Raw genomic sequence first — 17,002 nt, 5'->3', positions numbered from 1 at the left:
AAGGATTTGAGGAAATGGAACTTTGGGTTGCTGGCAGGGCAGAAATACTTGAAGAACACTCCCGTTTTAATAAGTTATTTTTAGTTTGCAGAAAAAGAGTAGTTTCTTCAGTGTCCTGGAATCTTGTAGTTGTGTTTGTAACCTAAACTAATCGGCTTAGCCTGTGCCAGAAAAGTGTCAGGTGGCATGCTCATTTCCTTCTAACTTTTAGTACTGCCTGGCTTAACTGCTGTAGTTCTGTGACTAGGCTTCAGGGCGTTGGTAATGGGGACTAACTGGGGGAAGGGGCAAGCTGCTGCTGGTTGCATGCTGCTGGTCTGAGCAGAGAGAACCCTCGTGCTAAGTCACTGCCCTAATGCATTCACTCTGGCTGTACATATAATGTGGTGCTTGAATCCAGAGTGTTCACTTGTGGTACCCTAAGTATGACTTTGAGTGGAACTACCTTAGAATCTTATTTTTCCAATTAACTTGACAGTCTCTAGTCATTTCTTTTGGCTCTTGTCCTGGATATTTTATTCTGCCTTAAGTGGTTTTTAATGGATTTTAAGCTCTCAGTTATCATTCATTCAGCACAACTTTATTGAGTGCCCACTCAAATGTATGCCTGGCACCATTGTAGGTGTTAAGTGTCTTTTGGTGTTTCTTTATTAGAAACTGTTGATTTTATAAATGTTACTCAGTTGAAGAATGTCAATTACTTAAAGTCTTTTTAAAATTAATTAATTAATTAATTAATTTATTTATTTTTAAGACAGACTCTTGCTCTGTCACCCAGGCTGGAGTGCAGTGGTATGATCTCAGCTCACTGCAACCTTTGCCTCCTGGGTTCAAGCAATTCTCCTGCCTCAGCCTCCTGAGTAACTGAGATTACAGGCGTGCGCCACCACACCCAGTTAATTTTTGTATTTTTAGTAGAGGGGGGGTTTCACCATGTTGGCCAGGCTGGTCTCAAACTCCTGACCTCAGGTGATCCACCTGCCTTGGCCTCCCAAAGTGCTGAGATTACAGGCGTGAGCCACCATGCCCAGACTACTTTTTAATGTTTGAGGCAGGGTCTTGCTCTGTCATCTGGAGTGCAGTGACTTGATCTCGGCTCACTGCAGCCTTGACCTCTGGGGCTTAAGCTATCCTCCCACTTCAGCCTCCCAAGTAGCTGGGACCACAGGTGTGTGCCACTACGCCTGACTAATTTTGTTTTATTTTTTATAGAGACAAGGTCTTACTATGTTGCCCAGGCTAGTCTTGAACTCCTGGCCTCAAGTGATCCTTCTGTCTTGGTCTCCCAAGTGCTGGGATTACAGGCATGAACCACTGTGCCTAGCCTATGTATTTTAATTTTTAAATTTGGATAAGACTTTATATAAATTTCTAGGCCAGAAAAACCAATTTTGGTTTGGGTACTATATGGTCATTGTACAGGAACAGATGTAAATTAACTAGAAGATGTGATCTCTGCTCTTGAGGCATTTAGAATGGTATGGAGAAAACAATAGGCAGTACAAATTATTGAAGAAGTACAAAAACTATTACAGACTAAATTAGCTGTATATAACTACCTACCTAAGTGCCAAGGGGCTGTTTGGTCAGTAGGGTTTACAGCTCCCCATTGGAGCAGGTTTTCCCCTTATTTTTTTAGCTTTGTTTATAAAGATATAAGCCAGCAGCTTATAAATGTGGTTGTTTGTAATCTTGGGGATTTTTCTCCCTGGGCTGGTCTTATTTTTTGCTTAAGACATAATAAAATACTCTGGGTAACTGATTTTTATGGAGACGAGAAAAACTTAAGAGGTAGTCAGCTCAGTAAAGCAATAGCAGATAGTGGTCTGATCCACCTCGTTTGTAGAGGCCAGGGGAGTGGAGATGGTGGTGTTCTTGTTTCTGCCTCTTTTGGGCACTGAAGCAAGAGAGGCTAAATATGAAAGCCCTCCTTTAGTTGATATCAGCTTGCCTTAGGTTAGCAAAGTATTTAAAATATGAGCCTCAATTTCTTCAACATATAAAATGAATTTGATAATATCCTTATGGGGTCATTATTAAGGATTGAGAGTATGGATGTGAAAGTGCTTTGAACTATGAAATAATGTATAAGCATTAGGTATTATTGTCAGGCGTAGTGGCTCATGCCTGTAATCCTAGCACTTTGGGAGGTCGAGAGAAGAGGATCGTTTGAGGCCAGGAGTTCAAGACCAGCCTGGGCAACATAGCAAGACCCTGTCTCTACAAAAAAATAAAAATAAAAAAAATTAGCTGGGCATTTTGGTGCACAGATACTTGGGAGGCTGAGGTGGGAGGGTCTCTTGAGCCCAGGAGCTTAAGGCTGCATTAAGCCATGATTGCACCATTGCACTCCTGCCTGGGTGACAGAGAGACCTGTCTCCATATATATATGTTTATTTATTTATTAGGAGGTATATTATTTAGAGCGTAGGAGGCATGCACTTCTGAGGCCCTTGTCAGGATATCTTCTAGGGATCCTGAATTTCAGATGATTCTGGGCATTCAATAATTGGACTTCCTAGGCTGGTGCCGTGTCTCATGTCTATAATTCCAGCATTTTGGGAGGCTGAGGTGGGTGAATTGCTCGAGCTCTGGAGTTTGAGACCAGCCTGGGCAACATGGTGAAACCCCATCTCTACAAAACTTACAAAACTTAGCTTGTTGTGGTGACACATCCCTGTAGTCCCAGCTACTCTGGGAGCTGAGCGGGGAGGATTTGCTTGAGTCCAGGGGGTTGAGACTGCAGGAAGCCACGATTGCTCCACCGCACTCCAGCTTCGGTGACAGAGCACGACTCTGTCTTTAAAAAAAAAAAAAACTACCAACAAAAAACAAAACCTGGACTTGAGCTGGTGATAATAAGAAAAATACTTTTATTTAATGTTATTTGAAAGGGTTGTACATGAGGGAGATGAATTATTCTTTCTTATAAGTTTATATAAGTCCATTTATACATAAGAGTCTTCGTAAGTATAGGCACTTATAATTTTCAGTAGTTTGGCCATTGAACATTTACTGAACTGTTACTGTGTGCCACGTTCTATGCACATGCTTGGATTCAGAGATGAAATACATAATTCTGGCCTTTCAGGAGCTCGGGGTTTGGTACAGGAGAGTAACAAGTAGACAATTATAATACAGAATGATAAGTGCTATACTAGAGATAAACCTAGGGTTTTTCAGAAGGGCTTATTCTTACTTGATTCCTCTCAACATCCTCTCCAGACTTTGTTTAAAAGTTGTAAGAGATATCTTAATGAGGCCTGGAGAAATGAAGCAGTTTGCCTAAGGTCACACCCATAGCTTGTTATTTTTAAAGCTAAAACTAAGATCTGAGTTGTCATACTTGCTTTCACTTTCAGTTATGTCCTAGCTAATCAGGAGGCTGAGGCAGGAGGATTGCTCGAGCCCAGGAGTTCGAGGTTATAGTGAGCTGTGATTGTGCCACTTCACCGTAGCCTGGGCAACAGAGTGATACCCTGTCTCAAAAAAAAAAAAAAAAAAAAAAAAAGAGCTAGTCACATCAGGTCGTTAAAAAAAATGTTGACTGTTTATTTCACACTGTACCAGGCCAATGGCAGTACAAAAGAATAAGGTGGTCTATAATTATGGTGTAGTAGGGATAGTAAGTATAAAAAAATGAGAAATTAGCATCAAGTCAATTCAACTAATACTTTTGTGAAGCTCCACGTTAATTGCTACGGGGAATATAAAACAACATAGGACAACCTACCTGTGGCTTTTTCTTTAGGAGATGGTGTCAGATAAACCTGTAATGCAAAGTAGACTAAGAAAATTGCTCAAGTAGAGATACAGACAAAGTGCATTGGGAACATAGGCCCAAGAATCTTAGAATATTAGAACCAAAAGGACAGGTAGAGGTGATCAGTTCTAGTGGTCTTTAGTTACCATTTTGGAGACATGGAGCCCATTTGGTTAGAGAAATTTGAGGAACCTTGCAAAAATCAGGGAATCAAGTGAAATTAGGATGACAATATAAAATTTTCAGCTGCCAGGAAGAAGAGGACTTGAACTGGAAATAGGCAGCCTTGGATCACAGAAATAGAGTATTGTAGAACTGAGGCCTTTTTAAAGTAAAACCTAACACCTAAACTGGCCAAAGGTAGACCCACTGTACCTATGACAATAACCATGTTTTATTGTGTACAAAGTACTTTCACATACATTCTTCTGTTTGGTCCTTATAATCTTGTAGTCAAGACACATTGTCATTTCTGTGTTACAAATGAGGAAACTATTCTAGTAAGTTGGAGAGACAAGAGTAGAACTCAGGATTCTACTGCCCATTGTACTACCTGGTGTGTGAATGTGAGTGAGTTTTAATTTTAATTTTAATTTTTTTTTGAGATGGAGTCTTGCTCTCTTGCCCAGGCTGAAGTGCAGTGGTGTGATCTCAGTTCACTGAAACCTCCGCCTCCCGGGTTCAAGCAATTCTCGTTGCCTCAGCCTCCTGAGTAGCTGGGACTACAGATGTGTGCCACCATGCCTAGCTAATTTTTGTGTTTAGAGATGGGGTTGCACCATGTTGATCAGGCTGGTCTCGAACTCCTGACCTCAAGTGATCCACCCACTTTGGCCTCCCACAGTGCTGGGATTACAGGCGCAAGCCACCATGACTGTTTGTTTTTATTTATTATTTATTATTATTTTTTGAGATGGAGTCTCGCTCTGTCGCCCAGGGTGGAGTGCAGTGGCGCAATCTCAGCTCGTTGCAGCCTCCACCTCCCGGGTTCAAGCAAGTCTCCTGCCTCAGCCTCCTGATTAGCTGGGACTACAGGCGTACGCCACCACGCCTGGCTAATTTTTGTATTTTTAGTAGAGACAGGGTTTCACCATGTTTGCCAGGTTGGTCTCGAACTCCTGACTTCGTGATCTGCCCGCCTCGGCCTCCCAAAGCGCTGGGATTACAGCCGTGAGCCACTGTGCCCAGCCTCCTGTTTGTTTTTAATAATGTAGACTTTGACGTGAGACATGTTGGCAAGTGTGACTTAGTAAAAGAAGGAGATAGACATAGTTATAGCTACAAGAAGGAACTTAGGGCTTAGGGGTGGGAGGCAGAACTGGCACAGAGCCTGATTATTCTGACTTGGGCATCTTCCTTGCCCTTTTGGATGCTGCCTTATTATACCTCTGGCCCCACCCATCCACCTCTCTTAGTACTTATTTAAAATTATTTCTGCTGTAACTGGGCAAGTTACTTTCTCAAGGTGTTCCCCCCCCCCGCCCCCCCCCCCAGGGCTTCCTGATTGTGGGGGGGGGGGGGGGAGAGAGAGAGAGAGAGAGAGAGGAAAAAAAAAAAGAATGTGTACAGTGATGAAAAGAAAATTGAATTAATATGTGTAGGGTATATTTTCGTTCAGGCATTATGTGCTTAGGCATTTAATGTATATTTTTATATAATCCTTACAACAGTCCCATGAAGTTTAGATGTAATCTCTATATACAGTTGTGGAAACTGAGGTTGTGAAGTTTAATCACTTAAAGTAATATGTGACTGAATTAGAATAGAACCCAGATAATCTGACTTTCAATCCCATGTGTGGTTTTCCCTTATAGCATGTTGCCAGGGCAGCAGGCAGGATGGAGAGAGAGTGTGGAATAGAGACAAAGGGAAATTCCCTAGAAGCAATAAAATGGAAATAAACTTGTTACAGGGGGTAGAAATAATAGTGACCCTGTAAAATATGCCTTCAAATTAAAATAGCAGCAGAAAACCTTTTTCACTCAGGCTCTCTAATAGGTACAGCTTAGTATTCTTCTTCTGATACCACCAAGTATATAGAAGGGCATTTTAATCTTCCATTTTAAGAGATGAGATACACTTCTCCTAAGGGAGATGAGATGCATGTAAAACAAAAAACTTCTAGATTGATGCTCTGGGCACTTAACAGTCAGTACAAGGGAAGTCACATTCTCTGAGTTGAGTGTGAAGGTAAAAAGATTCGAAACCTTTGGGTGACTTGCACCTCCTAAGACTTGCAGCTCGTACATGTGACAGACAGTGCTAGGATAGTACCCTCATTAAACAAAAATAACAACAAAACTGATCCTCAACTCTACATTTTCCTTATCACTTTCACACAGGCAAACTTTTCTTTCTTTTCTTTTCTTTTCCTTTTCTTTTCTCTTTTTTCTTCTCTTTGCCTTTTTTTTTTTTAACAGTCCAGTGGTCTTTTACTTTTTTACACCTTCTGATTTGGCCAACTTTCTTTCATTCATTTATTTATTTGGAGGCAGGGTCTTGCTCTGTCACCCAGCAGTGATGAAACCATAGTTTACTGTAACCTTGAACACGTGGGCTCAAGCAATTCTCCCGTCTCAGCTTACTGAGTAGCTAGGACTACAGGCATATACCACCATGCCTGGCCAATGAAACAGTGTCTCACTCTGTCCAGGCTGGAGTATAGTGGCTCCACTCACTGCAGCCTCAGTCTCCTAGATCAAGTGATCCTCCCACTTCAGCCACCCGAGTAGCTGGGACTACAGGCATACGCCACCACACCTGGCTAATTTTTAAATTGTTTTAAGAGACAAGGTCTCACTATGTTGCCCAGGCTGGTCTCGATCTCCTGAGCTCAAGTGATCCTCCCATCTCAGCCTCCCAAAGTGCTGGGATTGTAGGCGTGAGTCACTGCACCTGGCCTGGTTTTATTTTTGGAGAGATGGGGTCTTGCTATGTTGCCCAGGCTGGTCTCAAACTCCTGGGCTCGAGTGATCCTCCTGCCTCAGCTTCCCAAAATGTTGGAATTACAGGCTTTAGGCACTGTGCTTGGCCTTGGCCAACTTTCTCTCCGTAGGTGAATAACAATTTTAGATGTGATTCTGTTGCTAAACTTCACAAACATGGGCAAGGAAGCCTAGTCTCAATTGTAGACCACTGGTTAGAAAAGGAAACAGCAGGGCCGGGCGTGGTGGTTCACGCCTGTAATCCCAGCACTTTGGGAGGCTGAGGTGGGTGGATTACTTGAGGTCAGGAGTTTGAGAACCAGCCTGGCCAACATGGTGAAACCCCATCTCTACTAAAAATACAAAAATTAGCTGGGCGTGGTGGCATGCACCGGTAATCCCAGCTACTCGGGAGGCTGAGACAGGAGAATCGCTTGAACCCGGGAGGCGGAGGTTGCAGTGAGCCGAGATCGTGCCACTGCACTCCAGCCTGGGCAACAGAGCGAGACTTTGTCTCCAAAAAAAAAGAGGAAGTAGCAGAGCCGGTTCTTTGAGTGCCAGCTTTCAAATAGATACATTAATCTCAACCTAGTTTTATCAATTATTTATTAATAAGCACTCCCAAAGTGCACAAAAGTTCTTAAGTTCTTTCTAATTCTGATCTTGTTTATACTCTTCTTTGGTAAGGTTTCTTTGGCAAGGTGAAAAATAACCTGACACATAGAGATGGGATTGCTGGATTCTAGTTTTGTTTGTCTGTTACTAGCTTCCTAAAAAGGTCTCAGAAGTCCCTTTGTTTGCTCATCTGTCATATGAGATAAGAGTATTTGCCTTCTCATCCTAAAGGTTACGTAGATTTAAAAAGTTATTCTGGGAGAATTAGAAGCACTTTCAGTTGAAAGACATTATTTTACAGCAGTCCTCTATCATAGATAGGTACTGAAATATCTATTATTGATGCGATTTAAGTATTAATGGCAAGACTTATAGAAAATTATTAAAAAAGTTTGAATAATTTATATAACATGAGGTACTCCAATTAATCAAATGGTATGCCTCTACTTAGATCTTTTCGGACCTGTTTATAGTTTCTACAAGGGCAAATGGAGATAGCATGGTTAAGGATGTCATTCATAGTGTTATTGGAAAGGACAATAGTATATCATTGTTAAATATCATTTAGTCTGGCCTTTTTGTTTGACTGATGAAGCTGAGACCCAGAAAGTGTAAAAGACACATCTGAGGTCCAACAATGTCTGTGGTAGAACTAGAGGCCGCCACCCGGGTTTCTCACTCCCCATCCAAGTTTCTCTACACTTAGAGGGTGCGTTGTCTTACTCTCAGTTTCCCGCTTTAGTCAGAAAAGATCACTGGCTCTGGATTCTCTTCATTCCTTCTTGTTGGCAAGTGGGGTTGGGAGGAGGGAAGTGAGCAAAAGGCAGGCCTTAAAGAAATTGACATGTCTTCTGCAGCTTATGTTTTTTCTTCCACTTTTATCTGGAGTGTTCTGAACTCCAACATGAAGTGACTTGAATGTGAGAAGCGACTCAGTCAGTGATGGCATTCAGGGAAGCTGCTTTTAAAACCACCTAGGTTGGTTCATACATAGCAAGCTGCTGGCACTTCCTTAGCCCCATACCCCCTGATTGGTCCCCACCCCATCCTGCCATCGGCCTGTTTACCATGTTGGCTTTTTGGTGAAGAGACTGCACAGGGCAGAAAAATTATTAAAATCCTTCCTGGCTTTTTTCCTGAACAATCCTGAATGCTACTTCAGCAATTATAGGAGGAAAAATAAAATTATTTTCCCCTTGCTTCCTATATAATTTAGGACCACTAGAAAACTCTGTGATCCCAAGTTATTCTGTTTCTCTCTGATACCAATTTTTCTGATAACAGAAAATTATCCCTGTGTATACTTTAGTAAAGGGTCTGAGGGTGGTTTTTCTAGAGACTGAGAATGACCCAGAGTTGTTTCAGTTTGAATCATTTCTATTGTTCTGCTTCCACATTTCACTGACTCTTTCCTCTGTCATCTCCATTTTGTCCTTAAGCCCATTCAGTGAATTAAAAAAATTCAGATACTGTATTTCTGTTCAAAAATTTCCACTTAAATTTTTTTTTTCAGTTTCTCTTCTGAGATTTACTGTTTTCCCCTTCATTTTGAGCATATTTTCTTTTTTTTTTTTCTTTTTTTGAGACGGAGTCTCGTTCTGTCGCCAGGCTGGAGTGCAGTAGCTGAATCTCGGCTCACTGCAAGCTCTGCCTCCCGGATTCAGGCGATTCTCCTGCCTCAGCCTCTCAAGTAGCTGGGACTACAGGCGCGCGCCACAACACCCGGCTAATTTTTGTATTTTTAGTAGAGACGGGGTTTCACCATGTTGGTCAGAATGGTCCCGATCTCCTGATCTCGTGATCCGCCTGCCTCGGCCACCCAAAGTGCTGAGATTACAGGCATGAGCCACCGTGTCCGGCCTTGAGCATATTTTCTTTTACCTCATTGATCTTAGTTATAATAGCTCTGTTAATATCTTTGTCTGAGAATTTCAGCATCTGGGTTGTCTTGGAGTTGCCCTCTGCTGATTGTCTTTTCCTTTGCAAATTGCAAATGGGTTTAATTTTTCTAGGTGTTTTTTGTTTGTTTGTTTGTTTTTGTTTTGTTTTGTTTTGAGACAGGGTTTCACTCAGTCGCCCAGGCTGGAGTGCAGTGGTGTGGACATGGCTCACTGCAGCCTTGACTACTGGGCTGAAGTGATCCTCCTGCCTCAGCCTCTCAGGTAGCTGGGACCACAGGCATGTATCACCACACCTGGCTAATTTTTTTAAATTTATTTTCATTTTTTGTAGAGACAGTGTCTCACTGTGTTGCCCAGGCTGGTCTCAAAAACACTTTGGGCTCAGATGATCCTCCTGTCTTGGCCTCCCAAAGTGCCAGGATTACAGGCATGAGCCACCGTGTCCAGATGCTTTTTCTAGTTCTTTATGTAATTTGGAATTGTATTCTTCACACTGTGAATGTTGTATTGTGGAGACTTTGGTTTCTGTTGATGTTTTTAATTTAGTAGACAATAACTCAGACTCAAAACTGCAAACTCTGTCACACCTGCAGTGGGTCGCAGTTCAAATTTCAGTTCAGTTCTTTTCTCTTTAACTGAGGTCTTTGGATTCTGCCCTATGCTTGCATGGCTCAGGGTTCAGCCAGAGACTGGGTAGAATTTACACACAGAACCTGAGACTCTCCTTTTCTAGCTCTTTTTTTTCTTACTTCCATGATCTGTGGCTGCTCTGGGCTATTTCTTCAGGACAGAAAGCCTAGGGTTTGTTTTTTGATTGGAACTTCAGCTAGACCAGCCTCAGGCTAGAGATCCAAAAATGAGGAGTTCATTCCATGTCAGCCCTTTCTTCCAACTTTCAACTTATTTTCAAAATCTGCCAGCCCTTGTTCACTTCAGATAGTTTTTGTGTTTTATCCAGAGTATAGTTGTTGTCTGTGGGAGGGTCATACTGAAAGCAGAATTTCTTACTGACATTTTTATCTATTATCAAAGTGTTTGGGGGACAAAAATGTTCACTTGAGCTTGTTTTGTAAGCTTGGGCAAGTCTCCTTTCCTCTCTGGGACCCACTTGCTCCTCTGGGAAAGGAGGTGGTTGGACTCTGTGATCTGTAAGGATCCTTCAGTCTCTGCTTCTAGGCAGACAGACACGTACACACATACTACCACCACTATCACCACCAACAGTAACAGAAACAATAAGTGCCAGAAGAGATGCTTGAGGGAAGTGATGAGGATGGATCTGTCATGGTGGAAAGCTCTCTGAAGCAGCATCACTAAGGAATTTGAGGATGTTTACAGTCATCCTCTTGTTTTGGGGACAGAGGGCAAGTACGCTGAGGAAGCAAGAAGTAAATGGCATTCAGAAGAAAGAAATCAGTTACTGCTTACTTCTACCCCTTAGAAATATGAGAGAACGTAGACAGTTGAAAACAAATCAGGATTAGCTGGAGTTCCTCTTTCCCTTTGGCAGTGCATTCTGTCTTGTTTTGAAGAGAAAAGCCCCTGGGCCTTAGTAACATGTCAGCAAATTTGGCAGTAGGTGGTAGGTGCTGGGACAGTAGATTTTAGCAGGGGCGCTGCTATCACTGTTAGGGCTGCAGAGACCTTAGGGGAGATAGACCAGATTTATGTGACCATTTCTTAGAGTTCAGAATTTTTATGTAGGAGAGGTTTTAGGCTATGCAGAAGAAGATGAGTGTGTGTGTGGGGGGGCGGTGTTTGTGTGTGGGTGTTGTGTGTGTAAGGTGGGTGGGGAGGGGGAAAGAGACAGGTGGTGATGGGGTAGGACGGAAAGTCTGTGGAACTGTCCTAAAACTATTTGAATACCAATCACACTTACTTTAACTTCCATTGATTATTTTTTAAAAGCAGAGGGTGGAGAGCTAAAGCTTCCCCCACATCCACCTAAGCTATCTCTTGGGTGCCGCCTTGGTATAGATCGTTTTTAAAATTATTTTTAAATATAGAGCGTCACTCTGTCATCTAAGCTGGAGTGCAGTAGGACAACTGTGGCTCACAGCAGCCTCAAACTTCTGGGCTCCAGGTGATCCTCCCGTCTCAGTCTCCCAAGTAGCTAGGACTATAGGTGTGCATCACCATGCCCAGCTAATTAAAATTTTTTTTTTTTTGTAGAGATGGGGGCCTTGCTTTGTTGTTGTCCAGGCTGTTCTTGAACTCCTGGGTTCAAGCAATCCTCCTGCCTTGGCCTCCCAAAGTGCTGGGATTATAGGCATGAGCCACTGTGCCTGGCCTAGATCCTTTTTTATACTTATTTTCTAGCTGTTTTTATTATCAGTAACTTTTTTTTTTTTTTTTTTTTTGAGACAGCGTCTCACTGTGTCGCCCAGGCTGGAGTGCAGTGGCGCGATCTGGGCTCACCACAAACTCCGCCTCTTGGTTTGAAGAGGTTCTCTTGCCTCAGCCTCCTGAGTAGCTGGGATTATAGGCACATGTCACCATGCCCAGCTAATTTTTGTATTTTTAGTAGAGATGGGGTTTCACCATATTGGCCAGGGTTGTCTTGAACTCCTGACCTCAGGTGATCTGCCCGCCTTGGCCGCCCAAAGTGCTGGGATTACAGGCGTGAGTCACCGTGCCTGGCCGATACTATCAGTAACTCTTCTCTTTGGGAGGCCAAGGTGTGAAGATTGCTTGAGGTCACGAGTTTCAGACCAGCCTGGGTGACATAGTGTGACCCCATCACTACAAAAAAAAATTCTTTTCAAATTTTATTCTCTTGAGGCTTGAGTTACTACTGTTCCCCTCATCTTTTAAGCTGTTTTTAAAAAACTCTCATTATTTGTCCATTGTAATTCTAGCCGCCTTGCTCTCTGGGAAGATAGAGGCAGGGATGGGTGTGTGTGTGTGTGTGTGTGTGTGTGTGTATGTGTGCGCGTTCATGCATGCGCGCAGGTGCAGGTATGTGTGCATGTGTGCATGTTTTGGTGGAGGTGTGGAAGTTGGATTAAAGGGACCAATAGTCTTGGAAGGCAGTCACAAGGTGGCTTGCAGGGATGTGTAAGGGAGGCAGTTGTGATGAAAGAAGGGAGGATAGTTTGTAAGATCATGTACAAAAGCTTTAGGTTTACCACTAGCTTAGAAGCTACCTTTCCATTTTCCTCAAGAGTAAGATAACACAAGAAGTTTGACCCAGATCTTCCATCTGTAGTAGCTCTTCTCTAATTTTAGGGGTAAGATTCAATGGGATGGTAGGCTTTTCAACTCTCCTGTAGAAGCCTGCTTGTTTCAAAACTGGAGGGTAAGTTTGCAGAAAGAAAAGCTCTATTTTTAGTTTTAATTGATATTGGGTGGTTCAGGGCTCTTTTGAGGACCGAGTCTAGAGGGCAACAAAATGAGAGCCAGCATGGTGAAGGGACTTTCAAAGTCAGACAGACTTGAGTTTAAACTCTGTCATTTAATAACAAGCTGTAAGACCTTGGACAAGTCACTTCTTGAAACTTAAATTCTTTATCTGTAAAGTAGAGGTAACATTATCTTCTTATTGTCTTATATAAAACATAAAGCATAGTGCTCAGGGTTGGTAAATACTCCGCAGATGTTTTTTTCCTATCTTCTAGAACATCTTATTTTTAGTAGAATCCTTGCTTTTCTGCTAAATAATTGTGTGACTCACCCTTTCTAAGTTTTAGTTTCCTTCTGTAAAACAAGGACATTTAACTGAAGGTTGAGTATCCCCTTATCCGAAATCCCTGGGACCAGAAGTGTTTTAGATTTCAGATTTTTAAAAAAAATATTTGCATGTATACAGTGACATGTCTTGGGATAAGACCCAAGTCTAAACATGAAATTCGTTTATGTTTCCTATACACCTTATACATATAGCCTGAAGGTAATTTTATTTTTCCCCAGGGGACATTGAATAAACCTGAGTATTGTGTGCCTGTATTTTGACTGCGACCTATCAGATGAGATCAGGTATGGAATTTTCCACTTGTGGAGTCATGTGGGCACTCAAAACATTTCAGATTTTGGAGCATTTTGAATTTGGGATTTTCAGATCAGGGATGCTCAACCTGTAGCTGATTTCTGAGATGCTTCCTAGCTGTAAGATGTCATGTACATTTTTAGACTGTTGAGGAATGTTCGGGTGTTTTAATTTAAGCAAAGACAGTGGGTTCTACCCTAGGACCATATCATCTTATAGGAAAGGGGAAGTCTCCTACAGCCAAATTCTTTCTTGACTTTCCTGAGAGAGACATAGCCAGCTTAGCCAGGTTCCTTTAGTGTCAGGATCTAGATGCAGATCTTACCTTGGCCCCTTGCTGACAGTGAATTGTATGTGAAAGTCTTTGGGACAGCCCTCTGGGTCACCTCAGTCTTGGTATGATTCATGCATTACCTATCTCTTCCATTCTGTTTATATTCTATCCAGGTCAAGAGACAACTGCCTTTGAAAGAGAGTGAGTGACTGTTTCCAAAACAGCAAGCATAGGGAGAGCCGCCGGAAGTATTGACGGAAAGCTTGAATTACCTACATGGTAAGTATGTTGTACAGTGAAACCTGGGTGTACCAATAGAATTGGGTGGTTTCTGAAGCCACTATAATTTTGCCACTACTGGAAGTGGGGAGGAAAGTCAGTATTTGTGATGGCCTATTATGAACCAAATACTATGCTGAGTACTTAACCAACCAACCTGATGAGGGTGAAAAATCCTTGCATGAAGTTAGCAACCGTAAGAATTAGGCCACCCTTAAGAAGTAGCTACCATTTATTGAATATTTACTCTATGTCGGGCGCAGTCCTGTTGGACATGTTATCGCCCTACCAACCCTGTGAGGTAAGTACTGTTGTCATCACCACAAGGAAACAAGCTTAAAGAGGTTAAATAACTCTTCCAAGTTCACACAAGTAGTAGAACTAGGTTTCAAACCTGCATTATTTTCTTTCCTTTTTTTCTGAGACTGGGTTTCGCTCCCATTGCCCAGGCTGGAGGGCGGTGGCGTGATCATGGCTCACTGCAGCCTTGACTTCCTGGGCTCAGGTGATCCTCCCACCTCAGCCTCCCTAGTAACTGGGACTACAGGTGTGCACCACCATGCCCAGCTAATTTTTTTGTAGAGACTGGGTCTCTGTATTGTCCAGGCTGGTCTCAAACTGCTGGGCTAAAGCAGTCCTCCTGCCTTAGTCTCCCAAAGTGCTGGGATTACAGGCATGAGCCACCACCCTAGTGGGTTATTTTCATTACACTATAATGTTTCCCTTTTAAGAAAGTTACTTTTTGGTTGAGGCTGTGACTGATTTAACCTTGGAAAAGCAAAGCAAAATACAAAACCTTTTGATCAACAATTAGGTTCTTTTCCTAGCCATTTATGGATTTTATGTGCCAATATTTTATTGGTTGGTGTTGGCTAAGGCAGAGGAGAGCACTAATGAAATAGAAGAGATAGAAGTGAGAACTTGAACGGTCAGTGGCCAAGAGACCTGGTGGTCTTGGTTGCTCCTGATAGCTGGATGATAGTTAGAGAAAGCTTCCCTAGGAAAGTAGAGCAATAGGGTAGCTCAGAATGAGTGGGAAATGGGTTCTCGTCATAGCAGTGACTGGGCATAGGAAAGGAATCTTAACAAAGCCTCTTGCTCTCATGTCAACCCCTCTGAGGAAATAGGTGTAGTTAGGGATAATACAGAACTCTTCTCGAAGGAGTGGAAAAATTCAAGGCAAACTCTTGCCCTGTATTTTTTTATTTTTTGCAAGGCGTAGTCTTGCTCTGTTGCCGAGGCTGGAGTGCACTGGTGCGATCTTGGCTCACTGCCTCTGCAAACCTCCTCCTCCTGGGCTCAAGCGATTCTCCTGTCTCAGCCTCCCGAGTAGCTGGGATTACAGGTGTGTGCCACCACGCCTGGGCTAATTTTTGTATTTTTTGTAGAGACAGGGTTTCACCATGTTGGCCAGGCTGGTCTTGAACTCCTGACCTCAGGTGATTTGCCCACCTTGGCCTCCCAGAGTGCTGGGATTATAAGTGTGAGCCACTGCACCCAGCCTACACATACCTATTACACATAAAATATTTTGCTATATACTGGGGCTAATGTTCTGATGACAAAAAATGGCCACTTACTACACGCTTTAGTTATCGGAACTAAGTATACTGCATTAAACAAAATAGAAAAAGTCCTTTCTCTCAAGGATTATATTCTAATGGGTGGAAACAGATAAAAATGAATAATTAGATATAAATAAATAAACAGGTGAGTAGACAAATAACATCCACTAGATAGTACATGCTAAGAAGACAAAAAAGCAGCGTAAGGTGATAGTGGTGGGGAGCTGAGGGATTGCTCCTTTATGTACAGCAATCAAGGAAGGCCTCTGATGAGGTGATATTTTAAGCTAAGATCTAAAAGAAGTGAGGAGTCCAGCTAGGGAGATATCTGGGGGAAAAGCATCCTAGGCAGAGGGAACAGCAGGTATAAAATCTCTGAGGGATGAGTGTAACTGGTCATGTATAAGGACCCATAAGGAGGCCGTGTGGCTGGATTGGAGTAGTAGGGAAGGAGCAGCAGATGAGTGATGGGACCTAGATCATGTAGGGCCTTACAGCCATGTGACACCTTTGGAGTGCATTGTATTCTAAGTGAGGTGCACTAAAGAGCTTAGAGCAGAGGAGTGACTTGATCTGACTGATGTTTTAAAAGGCCTACTCTGGTTGTTGTGGGAGAACAGACTGTGGAGGGTGGGGAAGGATGGACACTGATGGGAGCAGGGAGACAAGTTAGGAAGCTTTTGCAGTAATCAGTAGTCCAGGGCAGGGATGATGGTAGGTTGGACCTGGGTGGTAGTGGTGGCTAACCAGAAAGCAATGGCTTCTAGACATACTTTGAAGGCTCTCAAATTCTAATTCTCCCCATAGACCTGTTTGATTTTTTTTTAATTTAAATTTTTGGTTTTGTTTTTTGAGACAGGGTCTCACTCTGTCACACAGGCTGGAGTATAGTGGTGTGATCTCAGCTCATTGTAGCTTCGACCTCCCAGGCTCAGTTGATCCTCCCACCTTAGCCTCCTGAGAAGCTGGGACTACAGGTGCATGCCACCACTCCCAGCTAAATTTTGTATTTTTTGTAGAGAAAGGGTTTCACCATGTTGCCGAGGCTGGTCTTGAACTCCTGGGCTCAAGCTGTCTGCCTGCCTCAGCCTCCCAAAGTGCGCTAGGATTATAGGCATGAGCCACTGTGCCCATTTGAGAGGTGTTTGATTTATTTGGAGTTAACGTCTGGGTCACAGGGGTTTGAGGATGTCATTGGAAACTTGACAGTGATCTCTGGTAAAATTCTAAAATTGATTGATCAAAGAATGAGAACAGTGATCCCTAGAAGCCAGCTTGTGTTCACTAAGAATAAATCATGCTAGCTGATAACAATTCTTTTTTTTCTTTAAGCCTTGCCATGATTTTATTTAAACGATCGGTACAAGTTCAGTATAAAAATATTAGAGAATAGACATAAGCAAAAACAGAAAAAAAGCACATTATCCAGAGATAATTACCATATAGCAGTTTGATATATATATCAGAGCATTTCATTTTTGGAAAGATTCCTAGGTCGCTGGAGGATTGGAATGTGCTACAAAGGTAATGTGTCTTAAGTGCTAACATTAGGTATTTAATGTTTTCTCATGTGATCCCAAGACAAAAAAAAAAATTTTACCTGGCTTTGGAGCTTCTTGAATAGTTGCACTCAGGAATTGTAATAGATCAGTGTTAATCTATAGGAGGTGTTTTTAATGATTTTGGTTATATTTTG

General features: G+C 42.5%; 1 protein-coding gene across 11 annotated transcripts in view; it reads left to right on the top strand.

Annotated features, from left to right (window-relative positions):
- Window positions 1-17,002, top strand: part of LUZP1 (leucine zipper protein 1) — a 94,481-nt gene that overhangs the window by 55,360 nt on the left and 22,119 nt on the right. For 6 of the 11 annotated variants that reach the window (XM_047429993.1, XM_047429989.1, XM_011542090.4 and 3 more), the window contains 2 exons: window positions 13,113-13,178; window positions 13,636-13,741. The gene's annotated coding sequence lies outside the window, so the exon portion shown is untranslated. Of the gene's footprint in view, window positions 1-7,224; window positions 12,502-13,112; window positions 13,179-13,635; window positions 13,742-17,002 lie in introns of those variants that run through there. The other 5 variants (XM_047429992.1, NM_001395461.1, NM_001142546.4 and 2 more) reach the window with 2 other exon arrangements.

The sequence above is a fragment of the Homo sapiens genome, chromosome 1 (genome assembly GCF_000001405.40).
Source record: "Homo sapiens chromosome 1, GRCh38.p14 Primary Assembly".
NCBI lineage: Eukaryota > Metazoa > Chordata > Mammalia > Primates > Hominidae > Homo > Homo sapiens.
This window is presented reverse-complemented; position numbering and strand designations above follow the sequence as displayed.